This window comes from Homo sapiens, chromosome 19 (assembly GCF_000001405.40).
Source record: "Homo sapiens chromosome 19, GRCh38.p14 Primary Assembly".
Classification (NCBI taxonomy): domain Eukaryota; kingdom Metazoa; phylum Chordata; class Mammalia; order Primates; family Hominidae; genus Homo; species Homo sapiens.
Genome location: NC_000019.10, coordinates 36,682,625 through 36,703,436, shown reverse-complemented (window position 1 = coordinate 36,703,436; position 20,812 = coordinate 36,682,625). Strand labels below are relative to the sequence as shown.

The 20,812-nt window shown below is 42.3% G+C and overlaps 1 protein-coding gene and 1 long non-coding RNA gene across 44 annotated transcripts in view, besides 3 other annotated features; one reads left to right on the top strand and one right to left on the bottom strand.

Moving 5' to 3' along the window:
- ZNF567 (zinc finger protein 567) overlaps window positions 1-20,812 on the bottom strand; it is a 60,573-nt gene that overhangs the window by 24,070 nt on the left and 15,691 nt on the right. For 4 of the 42 annotated variants that reach the window (NM_001387762.1, NM_001387761.1, XM_047438330.1 and 1 more), the window contains 3 exons: window positions 15,803-16,700; window positions 13,940-14,040; window positions 8,561-8,635 (listed from right to left, as the gene is read on the bottom strand). In NM_001387762.1, coding sequence (NP_001374691.1) covers window positions 8,561-8,569 — 9 coding nt within the window. In that variant the 5' untranslated portion in view covers window positions 8,570-8,635; window positions 13,940-14,040; window positions 15,803-16,700. Of the gene's footprint in view, window positions 1-8,560; window positions 8,636-10,921; window positions 11,046-13,715; window positions 14,041-15,558; window positions 16,701-20,812 lie in introns of those variants that run through there. The other 38 variants (XM_047438329.1, XM_047438332.1, XM_047438320.1 and 35 more) reach the window with 35 other exon arrangements.
- Window positions 14,769-15,408: an enhancer, noted in NCBI's record as "H3K27ac-H3K4me1 hESC enhancer chr19:37178931-37179570 (GRCh37/hg19 assembly coordinates)". NCBI's record gives its function as "activates a minimal SCP1, AML or CMV promoter by ChIP-STARR-seq in naive H9 embryonic stem cells {active_cell/tissue: H9 hESC(naive)}" and the evidence as "EXISTENCE:reporter gene assay evidence [ECO:0000049][PMID:30033119]".
- Window positions 15,709-15,768: a silencer, noted in NCBI's record as "silent region_10550". NCBI's record gives its function as "represses an Ori minimal core promoter by ATAC-STARR-seq in GM12878 lymphoblastoid cells {active_cell/tissue: GM12878}" and the evidence as "EXISTENCE:reporter gene assay evidence [ECO:0000049][PMID:35858748]".
- Window positions 15,969-16,018: an enhancer, noted in NCBI's record as "active region_14531". NCBI's record gives its function as "activates an Ori minimal core promoter by ATAC-STARR-seq in GM12878 lymphoblastoid cells {active_cell/tissue: GM12878}" and the evidence as "EXISTENCE:reporter gene assay evidence [ECO:0000049][PMID:35858748]".
- Window positions 15,988-17,998, top strand: ZNF567-DT (ZNF567 divergent transcript). Of its 2 annotated transcripts, NR_110708.1 has the most exons (4): window positions 15,988-16,169; window positions 16,631-16,751; window positions 17,422-17,600; window positions 17,926-17,998. It is a non-coding gene; the product is annotated as a ZNF567 divergent transcript (long non-coding RNA). The 2 variants fall into 2 exon arrangements; NR_110707.1 differs by having other exon boundaries at window positions 17,422-17,998.

Below are 20,812 nucleotides of genomic sequence, written 5' to 3'. Positions count from 1 at the left end.
CCAGCATGCAGCTGGAGATCTGAGAACGGGCAGACTGCCTCCTCAAGTGGGTCCCTGACCCCTGACCCCCGAGCAGCCTAACTGGGAGGCACCCCCCCCAGTAGGGGCAGACTGACACCTCACACGGCCGGGTACTCCTCTGAGACAAAACTTCCAGAGGACCGATCAGACAGCAGCATTTGCGGATCACGAAAATCCGCAGTTCTGCAGACACTGCTGCTGATACCCAGGCAAACAAGGTCTGGAGTGGACCTCTAGCAAACTCCAACAGACCTGCAGCTGAGGGTCCTGTCTGTTAGAAGGAAAACTAACAAACAGAAAGGACATCCACACCAAAAACCCATCTGTACATCACCATCATCAAAGACCAAAAGTAGATAAAACCACAAAGATGGGGAAAAAACAGAGCAGAAAAACTGGAAACTCTAAAAAGCAGAGCACCTCTCCTCCTCCAAAGGAACACAGTTCCTCACCAGCAACAGAACAAAGCTGGACGGAGAATGACTTTGACGAGTTGAGAGAAGAAGGCTTCAGATGATCAAACTACTCTGAGCTACAGGAAGAAATTCAAACCAAAGGCAAAGAAGTTGAAAACTTTGAAAAAAATTTAGATGAATGTATAACTAGAATAACCAACACAGAGAAGTGCTTAAAGGAGCTGATGGAGCTGAAAGCCAAGGCTCGAGAACTACATGAAGAATGCAGAAGCCTCAGGAGCCGATGCGATCAACTGGAAGAAAGGGTATCAATGATGGAAGATCAAATGAATGAAATGAAGCAAGAAGGGAAGTTTAGAGAAAAAAGAATAAAAAGAAACGAACAAAGCCTCCAAGAAATATGGGACTATTTGAAAAGACCAAATCTACGTCTGATTGGTGTACCTGAAAGTGACAGGGAGAATGGAACCAAGTTGGAAAACACTCTGCAGGATATTATCCAGGAGAACTTCCCCAATCTAGCAAGGCAGGCCAACATTCAGATTCAGGAAATACAGAGAATGCCACAAAGATACTCCTCGAGAAGAGCAACTCCAAGACACATAATTGTCAGATTCACCGAAGTTGAAATGAAGGAAAAAATGTTAAGGGCAGCCAGAGAGAAAGGTCGGGTTACCCACAAAGGGAAGCCCATCAGACTAACAGCGGATCTCTCGCCAGAAACTCTACAAGCCAGAAGACAGTGGGGGCCAATATTCAACATTCTTAAAGAAAAGAATTTTCAACCCAGAATTTCATATCCAGCCAAACTAAGCTTCATAAGTGAAGGAGAAATACAATACTTTACAGACAAGCAAATGCTGAGAGATTTTTGTCACCACCAGGCCTGCCCTAAAAGAGCTCCTGAAGGAAGCACTAAACGTGGAAAGGAACAACCAGTACCAGCCGCTGCAAAATCATGCCAAAATGTAAAGACCATCGAGACTAGGAAGAAACTGCATCAACTAACAAGCAAAATAACCAGCTATCATCATAATGACAGGATCAAATTCACACATAACAATATTAACCTTAAATGTAAATAGGCTAAATGCTCCAATTAAAAGACACAGACTGGCAAATTGGATAGAGTCAAGACCCATCAGTGTGCTGTATTCAGGAAACCCATCTCACGTGCAGAGACACACATAGGCTCAAAATAAAAGGATGGAGGAAGATCTACCAAGCAAATGGAAAACAAAAAAAGGCAGGGGTTGCAATCCTAGTCTCTGATAAAACAGACTTTAAACCAACGAAGATCAAAAGAGACAAAGAAGGCCATTACATAATGGTAAAGGGATCAATTCAACAAGAAGAGCTAACTATCCTAAATATATATGCACCCAATACAGGAGCACCCAGATGCATAAAGCAAGTCCTTAGAGACCTAGAAAGAGACTTAGACTCCCACACAATAATAATGGGAGAGACTTTAACACCCCACTGTCAACATTAGACAGATCAACGAGACAGAAAGTTAACAAGGATACCCAGGAATTGAACTCAGCTCTGCACCAAGCGGACCTAATAGACATCTACAGAACTCTCCACCCCAAATCAACAGAATATACATTTTTTTCAGCACCACACCACACCTATTCCAAAATTGACCACATACTTGGAAGTAAAGCTCTCCTCAGCAAATGTAAAAGAACAGAAATTATAACAAACTGTCTCTCAGACCACAGTGCAATCAAACTAGAACTCAAGATTAAGAAACTCACTCAAAACCGCTCAACTAAATGGAAACTGAACAACCTGCTCCTGAATGACTACTGGGTACATAATGAAATGAAGGCAGAAATCAAGATGTTCTTTGAAACCAACGAGAACAAAAGCACAACATACCAGAATCTCTGGGACACATTCAAAGCAGTGTGTAGAGGGAAATTTATAGCACTAAATGCCCACAAGAGAAAGCAGGAAAGATCCAAAATTGACACCCTAACATCACAATTAAAAGAACTAGAGAAGCAAGAGCAAACACATTCAAAAGCTAGCAGAAGGCAAGAAATAACTAAAATCAGAGCAGAACTGAAGGAAATAGAGACAAAAAAAACCCTTCAAAAAATTAATGAATCCAGGAGCTGGTTTTTTGAAAGGATCAACAAAATTGATAGACCGCTAGCAAGACTAATAAAGAAAAAAAGAGAAAAGAATCAAATAGACGCAATAAAAGATGATAAATGGGATATCACCACCGATCCCACAGAAATACAAACTACCATCAGAGGATACTACAAACACCTCTACGCAAATAAACTAGAAAATCTAGAAGAAATGGATAAATTCCTCGACACATACACTCTCCCAAGACTAACCAGGAAGAAGTTGAATCTCTGAATAGACCAATAACAGGATCTGAAATTGTGGCAATAATCAATAGCTTACCAACCAAAAAGAGTCCAGGACCAGATGGATTCACAGCCGAATTCTACCAGAGGTACAAGGAGGAACTGGTACCATTCCTTCTGAAACTATTCCAATCAATAGAAAAAGAGGGAATCCTCCCTAACTCATTTTATGAGGCCAGCATCATCCTGATACCAAAGCCGGGCAGAGACAAAACCAAAAAAGAGAATTTTAGACCAATATCCTTGATGAACATTGATGCAAAAATCCTCAATAAAATACTGGCAAACCGAATCCAGCAGCACATCAAAAAGCTTATCCACCATGATCAAGTGGGCTTCATCCCTGGGATGCAAGGCTGGTTCAATATACACAAACCAATAAATGTAATCCAGCATATAAACAGAACCAAAGACAAAAACCACATGATTATCTCAATAGATGCAGAAAAGGCCTTTGACAAAATTCAACAACCCTTCATGCTAAAAACTCTCAATAAATTAGGTATTGATGGGACGTATCTCAAAATAATAAGAGCTATCTATGACAAACCCACAGCCAATATCATACTGAATGGGCAAAAACTGGAAGCATTCCCTTTGAAAACTGGCACAAGACAGGGATGCCCTCTCTCACCACTCCTATTCAACATAGTGTTGGAAGTTCTGGCCAGGGCAATTAGGCAGGAGAAGGAAATAAAGGGTATTCAATTAGGAAAAGAGGAAGTCAAATTGTCCCTGTTTGCAGACGACATGATTGTATATCTAGAAAACCCCATTGTCTCAGCCCAAAATCTCCTTAAGCTGATAAGCAACTTCAGGAAAGTCTCAGGATACAAAATCAATGTACAAAAATCACAAGCATTCTTATACACCAATAACAGACAAACAGAGAGCCAAATCATGAGTGAACGCCCATTCACAACTGCTTCAAAGAGAATAAAATACTTAGGAATCCAACTTACAAGGGATGTGAAGGACCTCTTCAAGGAGAACTACAAACCACTGCTCAATGAAATAAAAGAGAATACAAACAAATGGAAGAACATTCCATGCTCATGGGTAGGAAGAATCAATATCGTGAAAATGGCCATACTGACCAAGGTAATTTATAGATTCAATGCCATCCCCATCAAGCTACCACTGACTTTCTTCACAGAATTGGAAAAAACTACTTTAAAGTTCATATGGAACCAAAAAAGAGCCCACATCGCCAAGTCAATCCTAAGCCGAAAGAACAAAGCTGGAGGCATCACGCTACCTGACTTCAAACTATACTACAAGGTTACAGTAACTAAAACAGCATGGTACTGGTACCAAAACAGAGATATAGATCAATGGAACAGAACAGAGCCCTCAGAAATAATGCCACTTATCTACAACTATCTGAGCTTTGACAAATCTGAGAAAAACAAGCAATGGGGAAAGGATTCCCTATTTAATAAATGGTGCTGGGAAAACTGGCTAGCCATATGTAGAAAGCTGAAACTGGATCCCTTCCTTACACCTTATACAAAAATTAATTCAAGATGGATTAAAGACTTAAACGTTAGACCTAAAACCATAAAAACCCTAGAAGAAAACCTAGGCAATACCATTCAGGACATAGGCATGGGCAAGGACTCCATGACTAAAACACCAAAAGCAATGGCAACAAAAGCTAAGATTGACAAATGGGATCTAATTAAACTAAAGAGCTTCTGCATAGCAAAAGAAACTACCATCAGAGAGAACAGGCAACCTACAAAATGGGAGAAAATTTTCGCAACCTACTCATCTGACAAAGGGCTAATATCCAGAATCTATAATGAACTCAAACAAATTTACAAGAAAAAAACAACCCCATCAAAAAGTGGGCAAACGATATGAACAGACACTTCTCAAAAGAAGACATTTATGCAGCCAAAAGACACATGAAAAAATGCTCATCATCACTGGCCATCAGAGAAATGCAAATCAAAACCACAATGAGATACCATCTCACACCAGTTAGAATGGCAATCATTAAAAAGTCAGGAAACAACAGGTGCTGGAGAGGATGTGGAGAAATAGGAACACTTTTACACTGTTGGTGGGACTGTAAACTAGTTCAACCATTGTGGAAGTCAGTGTGGCGATTCCTCAGGGATCTAGAACTAGAAATACCATTTGACCCAGCCATCCCATTACTGGGTATATACCCAAAGGAGTATAAATCATGCTGCTATAAAGACACATGCACACGTATGTTTACTGCGGCACTATTCACAATAGCAAAGACTTGGAACCAACCCAAATGTCCAACAATGATAGACTGGATTAAGAAAATGTGGCACATATACACCATGAAATACTATGCAGCCATAAAAAATGATGAGTTCATGTCCTTTGTAGGGACATGGATGAAATTGGAAATCATCATTCTCCGTAAACTATCACAAGGACAAAAAATCAAACACCGCATGTTCTCACTTATAGATGGGAACTGAACAATGAGAACACATGGACACAGGAAGGGGAACATCACACTCTGGGGACTGTTGTCGGGTGGGGAGAGGGGGGAGGGATAGCATTAGGAGATATACCTAATGCTAAATGACGAGTTAATGGGTGCAGCACACCAGCATGGCACATGTATACATATGTAACTAACCTGCACATTGTGCACATGTACCCTAAAACTTAAAGTATAATAAAAAAAAAAAAAAAAAAGAAATTCCAGCCGGACATGGTGGCTCACACCTGTAATGCCAATACTTGGGGAAGCCAAGGCAGGCAGAACACTTGAGGCCAGAGTTCAAGACCAGCCTCGCCAATATGGTGAAATGCTGTCTCTACTAAAAATACAAAAATTAGGCCAGCATGGTGGTGCATGCCTGTAATCCCAGCTACGTGGGAGGCTGACGCACCAGAATCGCTTGAACCTGGGAGGCAGAGGTTGCAGTAAGCTGAGATCCACCACTGCACTCCAGCCTGGATGACAGGACAAGACTCTGTCTCAAGAAAAAAAAAAAAAGAAAAAAAAATCCTAATCCTATAGCTAATATCAAACTTAATAATGAAAAACAATGCCTTTTGCCTAAGTTGGGCACAAGACAAGAAAGTCTGTTCTTAGAACTTCTACTCAACATTGTACTGAAGGTTCTAGACAATGTAGTAAGGAAAGACAGAAATGAAGGGAATATAGATTAGAAAGAAAGAAAACAGTCATTATTCACATATGACAGGATTGTCCATATAGAAAATCCTAAGAATCTAACAAAAAAAAAATTACTAGAATAAGAGAGTTTTGAAAGGTTGCAGGTCAAGATAAAAAAATCAATTGCATTTTCACATACTAGCAATAAACAGTGGGAAATTTAAATAAAAATGAACACCATTTACAGCAGCATTAAAAAATATCCAAGGATATAAAAAACATTTACAAGACTGGTACACTGAAAGGAACATTACTGAGAGAATTTAAGGAAGATCTAAATAAAAGGAGATGTGCATCATGTTCATTAACTGGAAAACTCTATTAGCATTAATGATTATTATTCTCGTATTTAAACTGTTATAAGCATTTTAACATTTTCTTGTCTCCTAATGAAATGTCTATATACATTCCTCTAAGGCACTTTCCATCTGATGCTATAAAGAATAAAATTGGGAGTAACTGTTTAGTGTTATTGGTACAGAATTTCTATGTGAAATGAAGAAAAACAGTTCCGGAAATAGATAGTGGTGACAGTTACACAACTTGTGAACGTACTTAATGGCTTTGAATTATACGCTAAAAAATGGTTAAAACGGTAAGCTCTCTGTTATGTATATTTTACCATAATAAAAAGTTAAACACAAAAGCACAGAAAACAAAAATATGTAAGCAAGCATTGGGGTGAGCCCTTGGAGAAGTGGAAAATAAGTGAAGATGTTAAATGGGAAGACAAGTGACCACTATGAGAAAGGAACCCAAATAAGGATGGTATCAGTGGAGGATGGAGGGAACTGTGGTAAGAGGAACAGAATTTACCACTCAATAGTTTTGCAGTGAATGGGAGACTTTTAACTCATGTTGGCTGTATTGGCAGGTGGGTAGGGGTTGGGGCCCTAACCAGATTGGAAAAAAACAAAAGGATAGGATGGGCAGAAGGAGACAATGAGGTGAATCTCAGACATGTGCATGAAGGATCTGCGGAACATGTAGGTGGCGATATCTAGCTGGAGGCTGGATATATAGTTTCGACAATACATCAAAAAAGACAGAGGTTTAGAATCAAAATTACTTGAGCAGCATTAGAATAATAGTGGTAGGTAGTGAACAGGAGAGTGTAAATAGAAGAGAACCAATACAGAATCTGGAGAACACCAGTATTTAAGAGGTCCAGATACGAAGATAAATGTTCTGACTGAAACAAGAAAGAGTAGTGTCTTTGAAACCAGAAGCAGAATATTTTAGGAGTTACACTTCTAGTTTAGTATGGCAGTCTATACAAATATATTTACTTCTACATGCAAACATAAAATTGGAAGAAATGTGAAAATAGAAATAAATCTAGAATACAATTAATATACTAAGAAGGTGTTATTGGAAGGCCACAGATTTTTAGAAATTGTTAGCAGCTGTGAGCAAAACTGAAGGTAGAGAAGAAACACAAGATTCTCAGTTTTTTGTACAAGTTGCCAATCACGTTTCCATCCTCAAAGCCTCAACACAAGACTTCTTGCTACTTACTAATTCTATATAAATTCTGTCAATTTCACTACCATCTTGACTCCAGTCTGTGGATGCAATAAAGCCTTATATATTTTTTTAATCTACACAAGACAGGTTCATTCAGTAATACATTTTCATTTAGTTCAAGGAAATGCATTTTTGTCCCTGCATAGCTTCTGGAAGAAGACTGAGAGAGGAGATGGTGAATGATATATCCACTATTTTTTTTTTTTTTAATAAAGAGAGTCTTGTTCTGTCACCCAGGCTGAAGTGCAGTGACATCATGGCTCATTGTAGACCTGACCTCTGGGCTTAAGCCATCCTCCCACCTAAACCTCCCAAATAACTGGGACCACAGGTGCATGCCACTGCACCTGCACTGGGCTAATTTTTTTCTTTTTTTGAGATAGAGTCTCACTTTGACACCCATGCTGGAGTGCAGCAGCGTAATCTTCACTCACTGCAACCTCTGCCTCCTGGATTCAAGCAATTATCTTGCCTCAGCCTCCCAACTGGCTGGGATTACAGGCGCCTGCCACCAAGCCCAGCTAATTTTTATATTTTTAGTAGAGACAGCATTTCACCATGTTGGCCAGGCTGGTCTCAAACTTCTGACCTCAGGTGATCTGCCCACCTCGGCCTCCCAAAGTGCTGGGATTACAGGCGTGAGCCACCGCGCCTGGCCTATTTTTTTTTTTTTTAATTTCTGGTGGAGACAAGGATCTCTCTATGTTGCCCAGGCTGGCTGGTCTTGAACTCCTGGACTCGCAATTCTCCTGCCTCAGCCTCTCAAAGTGCTGGGAGCGAAGTGCTGTTAAGGTGTGAGCCACCATGCCTGGCCTGATTTATCCACTTAATGTGTCAACATTGGTTAAAATTGGGAGCATTTGTGGAAGGTAGAGTCTTATCTGACCAATATGGGAAGAAGTGAGGACCAGTTTTCTGAAGGGAAAGATAGGTAGGAGGATGTAGGACAAGACCGACACATGCCCAAATATCCTTAAAAAAAAAAAAAAAAAAGACTTTCAGAAAGGAGAGAGAAACCATCGCCTTACCTGAGCCATGGTTTTGAGATATGAAAGAGATGACCAGTCCTTCCTTTGGAGTCCTCTTTAGAAAAGAGGCAGTTCCTAAGGAGGCAAAGCCGAGACAAAAAAAGCCACATGAGACCACATGTGCCTCACAGCTCTTATAATTCTATTAAAATTGCCTCCATTTCCCTTGTATTGATCCTTGTCCACTCTGAACATGCCACATAAATATAGATGGGACAACCAGCTAGGCAAATTCTGTTTTATCCCCAAGGCCAGAGATACAGGCTTTTGGGGCAGCAGGATGGATTTTGGGCAAGCTCCTCTCCCCTCAAGCACTACCTTTTCTCTCCTAGTCAGCCTACTGTTATTAACTACTTCCAAGCTGCTCTCCGTTAAGGCTGTACCATTCATAGTACTGCCAGCAATATATGAGAATACCTGTCATTCCACACTGAGGAATACTACTGATACAAATTTTTTTATGCTTGTCTATCTAACACATGTAAATTGTGGTTCTAGTTTCTAGTTTTCTTACCATGAACAAGAAGCTTCTTTTCATAAGTTTAAAGAACGCTTTTAGCTTCTTATCTGTGGTCTCATCATTTATTTCATTTTCTATCATTTTTATTTTCTGAATTGTTAGACTTCTTTAAAGGAAGGAAATTAATCCTTTATTTTTGTGGTAGGAGTTCCAAATAATTTTTCTCTTTTAGAGACAGTGTCATACTCTGCCATCCAGGCTGGAGTACAGTGGTACTATTCTAGCTCACTGCAACCTCAAACTCCTGAGCTCAAGCAATTCTGTCTCAGCCTCCCAAGTAGCTAGGACAAAAGACACACATCACCATGCCTGGCTAATTTTTTAAATTATTATTATTTTTTGAGATGGGGTCTTGCAATGTTGCTCAGGCTGGTCTCAAACTCCTGGCCTCATGTGCTCCTCCTATATGTGATTACAGGCGTAAGCCATTGTGCCCGGCCCCAAATAATTTTTTATAGTTTCTCATTTGACTGTTTTTTTTCTATGTAAAAATACAATTTTAAAAATTATTTGGCCATCTAGTTTGGTATCACAAAGTACTCCAGAATCTGTATTTCCTTCAATCATCAAAACTGCCATCTTTATCACATATTTTATGTCCTTCATATATCTAAGTAGAGCTGGGCTTTATATTTATTTCCACTGAACTGTTCATTTAATTGCCAGGATCACCTTACAGTTATCAGTTTTAAAACAGCTTAGTATCTACTAGGGCTACTTCCTTGACAGTTTTTCTCTCTCAGAATTTTTGGTGTTTATTTTCTCCTAACAATGCTAGAAAGTTCAAACATTTTTATTAAAATTTTAATGGAAATCCATGAAATGTAAGGAAGTTTTGACATTTTATCATGTTGTGTCTTCCTGTCCTTTTATTCAAGTCTTATTTTTATTTTATTTTTGAGACAGGGTCTCACTCTTTGCCTAGGCTAGAATACAGTGGCATGATCATGGCTCACTGCAGCCTCGACTTCCTCAGCTCAAGCAATTCTCCCTCTTGCATAGCAGGGACCATAGGCATGTACCACCCACATCCAGCTAATTATTTTTTAATTTTAATTTTTTTGTTTTTGAGACAGGGTCTCACTCTGTTGCCCAGGATGGAGTGCAGTGGCCTATCACCGCTCATTGCAGCGTCGGCCTCACTGGGCTCAAGTGATCCTCCTATCTCAGCCTCCTGGGTAGCTGGGACTACAGGCGCATGCCATCAAGACCGGCTAACTTTTTTTTTTTTGGTAGAAATGGGGTCTTACTATGTTGCTTAGGCTAGTCTCCAATTCCTGGGCTCAAGCGATCTTCCTGCCTTGGCTTCCCAAAGTGCTGGGATTATAGGTGTGAACCACCACATACCGCCTACTCCCAGGGTTGCTGAAAACTTTGAGAAAGAGTAAGTGGCTCACAGGGGCAGGTATGGGATAAGATATTCTGCATGGCTTTGTCCAAAAGGGCCCAGAGTAGGAAACAGAATCCATGCCCAACGACAGGGAATCAGACACCATAGGCACTTCTCAGTCTTGCAGCAGGCTCTTTTTAAAATTTATTTATTTTTATTTTGAAATGATTATAGATCCACAGAAGCTTGCAAAAATAGTGCAGAGAGGTCTCATTCACCTTTCACCTAGCGTCTCCACAATGGTCACATCTTCCATAACCATAGCATATGGTCAAAATCAGAAAACTGGTTGAGCACAGTAGGTAGCTCATGCCTGTAATCCCATCACTTTGGGAGCACAAGGCAGTAAGATCGCATGAGCTTAGGAGTTTGAGACCAGCCTGGGAAACATAGTGAGACTCTGTCTCTACAAAATAAAAATACACAAATTAGCCAGCATGGGGGCGTGTACCTGTAGTCCCAGCTACTCAGGAGGCTGAGGCAGGAGGGTCACTTAAGCCCAGGAGTTTGAGGCTACAATGAACTATGACTGTGCCACTGTACTTCGACCTGGACAACAGAGCAAGACTCTGTCTCTAAAAAATAAAAACAAAAAATCAGAAAATTGTCATTACACAATGCACCAACTTCTTTCAGATATCACTAGTTTTCCATGCATTCATTATGTGCGTGTTTTTACCATTTTATCACACATTTAGATTTGTGTCACCACCACCACAATCAAGAGGCAAAACTATTCCATGTAAAGATACCATTTTAAAGTAATTGTTTAAACGACCCATCAATACCACTCCTGAGTATCTATCCATGACAAACAAAGACATGTATCTACAAAAAGACCCGAATGTGAATGTTCGTAGCAGTTTTATTCATAACCACCTCAGAACTGGAAACAACCCAAGTGTGCATCAATGGATACACAGACAAACCAACTGTGATCCATCCAGACAATGGAATACTACTTTATACTAAGAAGAATGAAGCAATGATACATGCAATAATATGAGTGAATTGCAACATGCAACTGAACTGAGCTCATGCCTGTAATCCCAGCACTTTGGGAAGACAAGGCAGGAGGATTGCATGAGCTCAGGAGTTCGAGACCAGCCTGGGCAACATAGTGAGACTCTGTCTCTGCAAAATAAAAATACACAAATTAGCCAGCATGATGGCATGTACTTGTAGTCCCAGCTACAGTTTACTAATTGCAACATCCTTACTGAATGAAGCCAGACTCAAAAGGCTACATTCTGCATGACTCCTTTTATATGAGATGAAATTACAACAGAGGTTACTTCTGTGCCAGGGTGATTGGATGGGGGCTAGAAGTGTTCTGTTTTTGTTTTCTTTTTAAATTTGGGTGATGGTGGTGACATGAGTTTAAAAAAATCCAAATATATACATTTGCTTATATTAAAATAATGAAAGGATAAGCTGAAAGCTTAGATAAAAGATAGAATATAATATTCGGTTGCTTTTGTCACTAACAAAGTATCCTGGAGGCCAGGCAAGGTAGCTCACACCTATAATCCCAGCACCTGAGGAGGCCAAGGTGGGCAGATCACTTGAGCCTAGGAGTTCAAGAACAGCCTAGGAAACATAGCAAGACCCCCAACTGTACAAAAATAAAATAAAATAAAATTAGCCAGGTATGGTTGTACATGCCTGTAGTCCCAGCTACTTGGGAGGCTGAGGTGGGAGGATCACCTGAGCCCAGGGAGATCGAGGCTGCAGTGAGCCATGATCAAGCCACTGCACTCCAGCCTGGGCAACGGAGGGAGACCTTGTCTCAGAAACAAACAAACAAAACAAGAAAACAAAAAAATCCAAAGTATCCTGGAGGCCCTTCTCCATAAATCCATGCAACTGATCCCTTTTCATGGCTGCATAATACTCCTCAGTGGCACTGTACTTGGTTAATCCAACCAGTTTCCTTCTCTTGGATATTTGGAATTCAATTATTTCTTTACACTTTCCAAAATAATTCCCTGTGATGTAGATCCAATGACCCTCACAAAAACCCTGAGTGAGGTAGGTCCTATTATACCTGAAATTGACTAACATGACTAACACAGGAGACACTCATGGCTTGCTCAGTGTTACACATTGCAGAGGTGGCCTAGCCAAGATTTTTTAAATGACAGCATTGAGATATAATTTACACACCATAAAATTCATCCATCTAAAGTATACGATTCAATGGTTGTTGGTATATTCACAAACCATCATAATGAACAATCATCCACAACCTAATTTTAGAACATTTCAATCACCATGAAAGAAACTCCAAAAGAATGCATGCCAAATTTAAGATCATTAAGATGTATGCCTATGTGTTTTTTCCTAAGAGTTTTATAGTTTCTTTTGTTTTGTTTTGAAACAAAGTCTCACTCTGTTGCCCAGGCTGGAGTGCAGTGGTGTGATCACGGCTCACTGCAGCCTCGACCTCCCTGGGCTCAGGTGATCCTCCCACCTCAGTCTCCTGAGTAGCTAGCCACAGGGGCGTGCCACTACGCCTGGCTAATTTTTGTATTTTTGTAGAGACAGGGTTTCACTAAGTTGCCCAGGCTGGTCTTGAACTCCTGGACTCAAGCAGTGCACACACCTCAGCCTCCCAAAGTGCTGGGATTACAGGTATGAGCCACCAAGCCCCACCAAAAGTCCTATTTTAAAATGTGCTCTTTAATAACATATCATGTAATTAGTAAAGTCACTTCCTTTGTATCTCTTATTTTTGATGACCACTGTAAATAAGTCTTTTTCCCCATACTTTCCACATACACACACACCCCCTATTTATTTGTTAATGTTTTTTCCAACAACCCTGAGTTTTCTAATTGTTATCACTGTTCAATTTTTAATAGGATGAAAACTTAGAAATATTTCTGCCTCAGCCTCAGCTGATATCCCAAAGATAGCAAATGAAACAAAATTCTAAGAGAACTTCATTCAAGAACAGGATCTTATAGAGCTGTTGAGTGTAAAATTTTGCTATCATTAAACTCCTCCTTTAAAGACAGTGGAGAGGCTGAGAGAGGAGCATGTATTTTTAAGAGACTGTTATTTTTAGAACAGTGTTTTTCCAGGGGGAAAAACGTGAGTGATTCTCCCTTTTTTACAACACACAAGGGGTCCCTCAGACCCTGAGGCCACCAGGAACCAAAGTGGTGAGAGAATTCTTGGCAAAAATTTTACATATTTCTAAGATTTGGGAGGGCAAAGTGACTGAGGTGGCTAATTCTCACCTTAGCACTAGGTGAAGACCCCATGGGTGGAGGCTGTCTGGGTTGTCTTGGGTCCTATCAAAGAGGAATGACTGGACAAACCCACCCACCAGAGTCGGTGGGCCACTGAATGCCCAGAGGAAGCACTGGGGCAGCAGCTGGAGAAGAGGCTATGCCCATGAGAAGGGAAGTGTATCTGGAGGTTCCAAGCAGCAGGTTCTCTTGGAAGGTAAGAGATGACTTACACTAAATTATAGTGGTATCAGTCATGTTAGCCTCTTCTTGTCTCTGACTTCTGTCTTCTCATTCCTTTCCCAGCTCCCAATCCATGAGAGCTAAAGACTGCCTATAGGGAGTAAAGAGGAGACAAAATAAAGGTTGGGGAATTAGAGAAGAAACTAATCATGTATCCTTTCACATTTCAGGCTTCCAGCAGAAGAAATTCATCCAGCAAAAAAAAAAATAAATACACACACACACACACACACACACACACACACACACACTCTCAAATAGGAATTTTGAGAGTGGCAGTTATGAGATAAAGTTTTTTTCTGTGTGGTCCCAGTGGTATTCTATTCATTTAAGCATATCAGTCATCAGTCAATACCAGGTTTCCCAATAAATGATCTTTTTTGGAAGGGAAGGGACGGAGTCTCGTTCTGTCGCCCAGGCTGGAGTGCAGTGGCGCGATCTTGGCTCACTGCAACTTCCACCTCCGAGTTCAAGCGATTCCCCTGCCTCAGCTCCCGAGTAGCTGGGGCTACAGGCATGCGCCATCATGCCCAGCTAATTTTTATATTTTTTAGTAGAGACGGGGTTTCACCATGCTGGTCAAACTCCTGACCTCAGGTGATCTGTCCGCCCCAGCCTCCCAAAGTGCTGGGATTGCAGGCGTGAGCCACCGCGCATGGGCCCAATCTTTTTTTTTTTTTTGAGACGGAGTCTTGCTCTGCCACCCAGGCTGGATTGCAGTGGCACGATCTCGGCTCACTGCAAGCTCCGCCTCCCGGGTTCACGCCATTCTCCTGACTCAGCCTCCCAAGTAGCTGGGACTACAGGCGCCCGCCACCACGCCCGGTTAATTTTTTGTATTTTTAGTAGAGACGGGGTTTCACCATGTTAACCAGGATGTTCTCGATCTCCTGACGTCGTGATCGGCCCGCCTCAGCCTTCCAAAGTGCTGGGATTACAGGCGTGAGCCACCGCGCCCGGCCCGCATGGGCCCAATCTTACCCTCTGAAAATTATTTTGCCTCTTCCTCTCCATTAAAAAAAAAAAATCACTACTTATTTTACTTGTCTAATTACCAGAGTCAAATTCTACAGGCATATATAAAATGCCCAATACTCATAAATCAATCTAAACAATGCATACTTTAGTCAACACTCGGTTTCTCAAGCACTCCACCTAAGTCACACAGTGTGCCACATTCACAGTCATCATAGGTCGTGTACACCAAATACTTTTAAAATTAGGCATATTCATAGCTGTATCACCCACTACATAGTCATAATCCCATAGGCCCCCACGTCGTGCACAATTTCACAGAACTTCTACAAAAAGTAACAACCTTTCACTCACAATGCCCTCACTGTCGCCTCTCCAGAGTCGGACACAGGCTCAAACACAAATCGACTCGCATCTAATTTAAATTAAAACTTAAGACACGCAGGGACCCTATCACTTTCATAAACAACCGGTTCCACAACGTCACACAGAATAACACATTCCCCTACCACAACACACAGGACAGGTACGAAAAGCCACACACACACACACGGAGCGCCTGTTGTGTGCCAGGCCGTGCTCCAGGAGCCAGGGGACGAAAATCAGACGAAATTCCTGCCACTGGGGAGCTCACCCCCCGCCTCGGGCAACCGGTTCCCTTCTTCAGGTGCTCCCGGGCCCGCGCTCTGGTTCCTGCTTCCCTCCCAGCCTTCTCTGAGGCCCGGACTCGCACTTTCCTCCAGCCAACTCCTCGTCCCAGGTTGCTCCTCTTCCCTTCTTGCTTTCCCCAGCCCAGGCTCCCGCCTCCCTCCTCAGCCTTCCTTACGGGTCACACCGTCACCCGCCTTCTCCGCGCCCGCGGGACCCACCAGCCTCACCTTCGGTTGCCGGCCGGGCGTCTGCGCATGCGCACTCCCACGCGGACGATGCCTCCCAGGTGTCTCCGCGGCGCGTTCCTGCTGTCCACCGGCTACGCGCGCCTTCTCCACATCCGGGCGTTTCCGGCCTTGGACTACATTTCCCACAGGCGCCCGGGCGGTTTTCGAACTTTGATCTCTGGTTCCCCTTCCAAATTCTCATAGTGCGTGGCTGGGATGAGGGCGGCGCTCACGGTGAGGAAGCCCCGAGCTCCCGGGACGCAGACAGGGTGTGCAGGGCCGTAGCTCGGGCCTGTGTATGCACCTGTGCGTGTGTGTTTGATGCCAGGACAAGGCGGCGGTGTGCGCGGCGAGGAGGCTGCGACAGGTGCGTGATTGTGTTCCTGTCCCTGCTCGGATGCGGGACCTTTGGGTGGCCGTGGTCGGCTGTCGGGTGTGTGACACTGTAGGGTTTGAGACCTTCCATCATGACAGTGCTGCTGTGGCCGTGTGATGGAAGAGCCTTTTAGGTCTGTGGTGTTGTGTGTGTAACGGGTAAAGCTTCATTTCTGCAGTGCTGTGTTTAATGTTGGGACTGAGGGGTCTGTCGAAGATCTCCCCAATGTGCCTGTGAGGACTATGATCCATGCCTATGTTAAGCAGAGTCATCTTGCAATGAAGCATGGCCCGCGTTGTCTTCTCAGGGCACACCTGTCCCCAGTTCTCAGCCTGGTGTTTGACACAGGGGATCCTGGCGGAGTGCCCACCTAAGCGGCAGTTTTAGACTCGATTGTTTCTTGGGCTCTGCATCTCTGAGTTCCCAGCTTCCTTTTTTCTCCCGCTTTATAGCTGTATAGACCCCAGCTGCAGTGAAATGGCCATCAAAAAGGGAAGGGATAATCGAGTGGTGGAATAAAATCTGCAAACAGAAAAAGGACAGACCTGTTTTCGGAACGAGGCTTTTCGAGTTGTAAGTGTCCCTTAAGCAGAGTTCTGGGAAGACGTCGTGGGGAGAACCTAGGAGTAGGATTCCTTCCTCAGAGGCTCTCCCTTGGGAACTCTCAGAGGTCAGGTTCCATGTGATCCACATCATTCCCAGAGCTGTCTCCGCAGGAGACTTAACGTGAATTTTGAGAAAGTCCCCAGTCCTGGATATCAGTGACCCTGGCCTTTCCCTTGAATACTAAGAAGGGTTAGCAGTACTCCCATCTCCCTTTTACTTCCATCTGAGTATGTTTATGGTAGATGATGAGAGCTCGTGTGGTGGCAATAATTTTTTCCAATTTAGCCAATCTGGGTTCCAAGAAAGGTCTGATGTCTCATGATTCCTTACCCCTTCTCCCTTGCCTTGAGGTTCTCTAAGAGCCCTGAGGAAAGGGAACCATTGCTGAGCATATCTGAAAACCAAGGTCAAGGAAGTTTTGTTGTATTTTCTATTTTTGTTCTCTTTGATTTTGTTTTTCAGCAAGGGAGTATTTTTTCTCCTCCTGAAATGCTAGTCAGTGGTTAGGTTACTATTAGGCAGGGCCTTGTGAGGTGCTTTGACCAATAGAATGTGGTGGAAGTGATATTGTGAGACTTCTGAGACAAAGCTTCAGGAAGTCTTGCAGCTTTTTCTCTTCCCCTTTTCCTGCCCTGAGACCACCATGACTGAAGGCTAAGAGCAACTTGCTTGCGCATTAAAGATCACTTGGAGAGAGAGGTCCAGTGAGCAACAACGGCCAGAAATTTCAGGGAGACCATCTTGAACCATCCAGCCTCCACCAGGCCAACAGCTGACAGCTGTCACATGAATATGATCAGCAGAAGAACCACTCAGGCAAGCCAAGCCCAAATTGCCAAGCCCCCCAAATAATAAGCTAATTGTTTTTTGTTTTAAGCCATAAACTTTTGAGGTGGTTATATAGCAATAAATAACTGAAACAGGTGTTTAACTTTCTAGACTTTTTAAATGACCATATTGATATAATTGTATTGTTCAACCTGTTTTGTAAAGTGATTTCTCTGATACAGTATCTTGAAAATATTCCTTAACTATTTTCTACAACTTTGCATTTGTCTATCTTAGTATTATATTACATGGATATGTGGTAACTTATTTAACTACTAACTTCCCTTTGCAATTCCTTTTCCTTGCTGTCTAGCTCCCATGTCTTGACCAACTTTGCATTCCCCTCCAGGACCTTATGGGCACATGGGTTCCTATCATTTCACGGGTATGTAGACTCAGGAATGTGGCATTGACTTCTGGGTGGAGTACAGATGACTGACACCCCCACCCCGATTCGGAGGAATTATTCAGGGGTGTGATATAACACCTACATACATTTATTTAACTAGCCAATTTGGTCTCCCCTTTTTTTGTTTTGAGACCGAGTCTTGCTCTGTCGCCCAGGCTGGAGTGCAGTGGCGTGATCTCGACTTACTGCAACCTCCGCCTCCCAGGTTCAAGGGATTCTCCTGCCTCAGCCTTCCGAGTAGCTGAGACTACAGGTGCCCACCACCATGTCCGGATAATTTTTGTATTTTTAGTAGACATGGGGTTTCGCCAAGTTGGCCAGGCTGGTCTCAAACTCCTGACCTCACGTGATCTGCCTGCCTCAGTCTCCCAAAGTGTTGGGATTACAGGCATGAGCCACCTCGGCCAGCCGGGTCTCCCTTTTTACATCTGTTTTCCCCTTTCCAGTTCAAATTCTGTATTCTGGGAACATCTTACTTTCTTCACCCTGATTGATTAGGGAAACTTCAGGGTTCTTAGGTAACTTTCTGAAGGACTGGTTTAAGATTCCTAGAGTTGGAAATGGGCGTCTCTCCTGTGTTATTTCTAAAGTGTTATCATCCTAATCCTTCAGAATACTTTCTTGACTTCTTTCTGCTTGATGATTAAGGAATGGTCTCAATTCTCCATAGCCACATCAGACCAAAATTCCATTTCTTTGCCTATGTGAAGGGTTTATTATTAATTACCCTATTAATTTATGTCCAAACCAGATGTGATTTCCTTCTTGGAGCAATAGTTCGTGAAGAGGTTGGTTAACAGCAGTTCTGTGCCCAGGTAAATGAGAGGCAACTGATAAGAGGAACTCGTTGTGTATAAAATCTTAGGATTCTAGATTTAGGACCTTTAAGGCAGTATTTGAATTAGTGCTCTGGAATGTCTATGAAGAAAGTTTGGGTCTCTTCAGCCAGAATTCAGACCATTTCAACATTGCATTCCATGTATCATACACATATCTCCTTTTATTATTATTTTTTCTGCTCTCAAAGCAGATTTCTCTCATTGTAAAATTAGTAGATTCTTAATTCAGAAGATTGGAGAATATTAAAAAAAGCTTAAAGTAAAGCACTTTGAACACTTTATTCCAAATCACTTCACCTCATTTGTGAATAAGTGCATGGATATAGGCTTATAGGACTTTTTCATTCAAAACAGGGTTATATAACAATTGTTTTGAAATCTACTTGTTTCTTCTAACAAAATATAGTGAACAAATTTTCATGTCACTAAATTATGAACTGTGTCATAATCTTTTAATGGCTGCACTGTTCTGTTTGTATATGTAAGTTCTTTCCAGCTTTTTCCCATTATATGCAATGTTTTACTGCATATGCCTTTTCTGTGCACATGTGAATTGTATATTTTGGATAGTCTTAGATATTTTGCTGAGAATGAGGTTTTCATAGTTAAAACCTGTTTACACATCTATATCAATTGCCCTGATTAAGTTTGCACCAATATTCAACATACTATGAGAATGTCTATTCGCTACTATATGGTATCATTAGTCTTTTATTATTATTTTATTTTATTATTATTATTATTTGAGACAGAGTCTCACTCTTGTTGCCAGGCTAGAGTGCAGTGGCATGATCTCGGCTTACTGCAACCCCCGCCTCCAAGGTTCCAGCAATTCCCCCACCTCAGCCTCCCAAGTAGCTGGGACTACAAGGCGCATGTCACCACGCATGGCTAATTTTTGGTTTTTAGTAGAGACGGGGTTTCACCATGTTGGCCAGGATGGTCTCCATCTCCTGACCTTGTGATCCGTCTGCCTTGGCCTCCCAAAGTGCTGGGATTACAGGCGTGAGCCATTGCACCTGGCCATCATTAGTCTTTTAAATCCACCAATCCAGTAGAAATTATATTTATTTAAATGAATTACCCATGCACAGGTTTCATTCAGTGTAATAAAATATGGGCTTCAGAAACAAAAACCAGAACTGAAAGAAAATTGGTTTTGTAGGTAGAAAAATGTGATTTAAAAATGCAGATATGCCATTTATTTTGAGGGTGTATAGCTCACCCCTGTAATCCCAGCACTTTCGGAGGCTGAGACGGGTGGAACACTTGAGCCCAGGAGTTTGAGACCAGCCTGGGCAATATGGTGAAACCCCGTATCTACTAAAAATACAAAAAATTAGCTGGGTGTGGTGGTGCACCTGTAGTCCTAGCTACTTGGGAGGCTGAGATGGGAGGATCACCTGAGCCCAAGGATATTGAGGCTGTAGTGAGCCGTGATTGTGCCAATGCACTCCAACCTGAGCGTTGGAGTGAGACCATGCCTCAAAAAAACAAAAACAAAAAACTCTTAAAATCGAGGGAAAGACCCAAAAACCCGATAGAAAAAGTGAGTAAAAGAAATGAACACATGAAATCACACACACACAGACACACACACACACAAAGAGAGAGAGAGGAAGCACAAATTTTAAAATTATAGCGTGCTGGCTTTTTAAAAAAATAAACCCAGCTGGGTGTGGTGGCTCACGCCTGTAATCCCAGCACTTTGGGAGGCTGACATGGGCGGATCACGAGGTCAGGAGATTGAGACCATCCTGGCTAACATGGTGAAACCCTGTCTCTACTAAAAATACAAAAAATTAGCTGGGCGTGGTGGAGGGCACCTGTAGTCCCAGCTACTCGGGAGGCTGAGGGAGGAGAATGGCGTGAACCTGGGAGGTGGAGCTTGCAGTGAGCCAAGATGGTGCCGCTGCTCCCCAGCTTGGGCGGCAGAGTGAGACTCCGTCTCA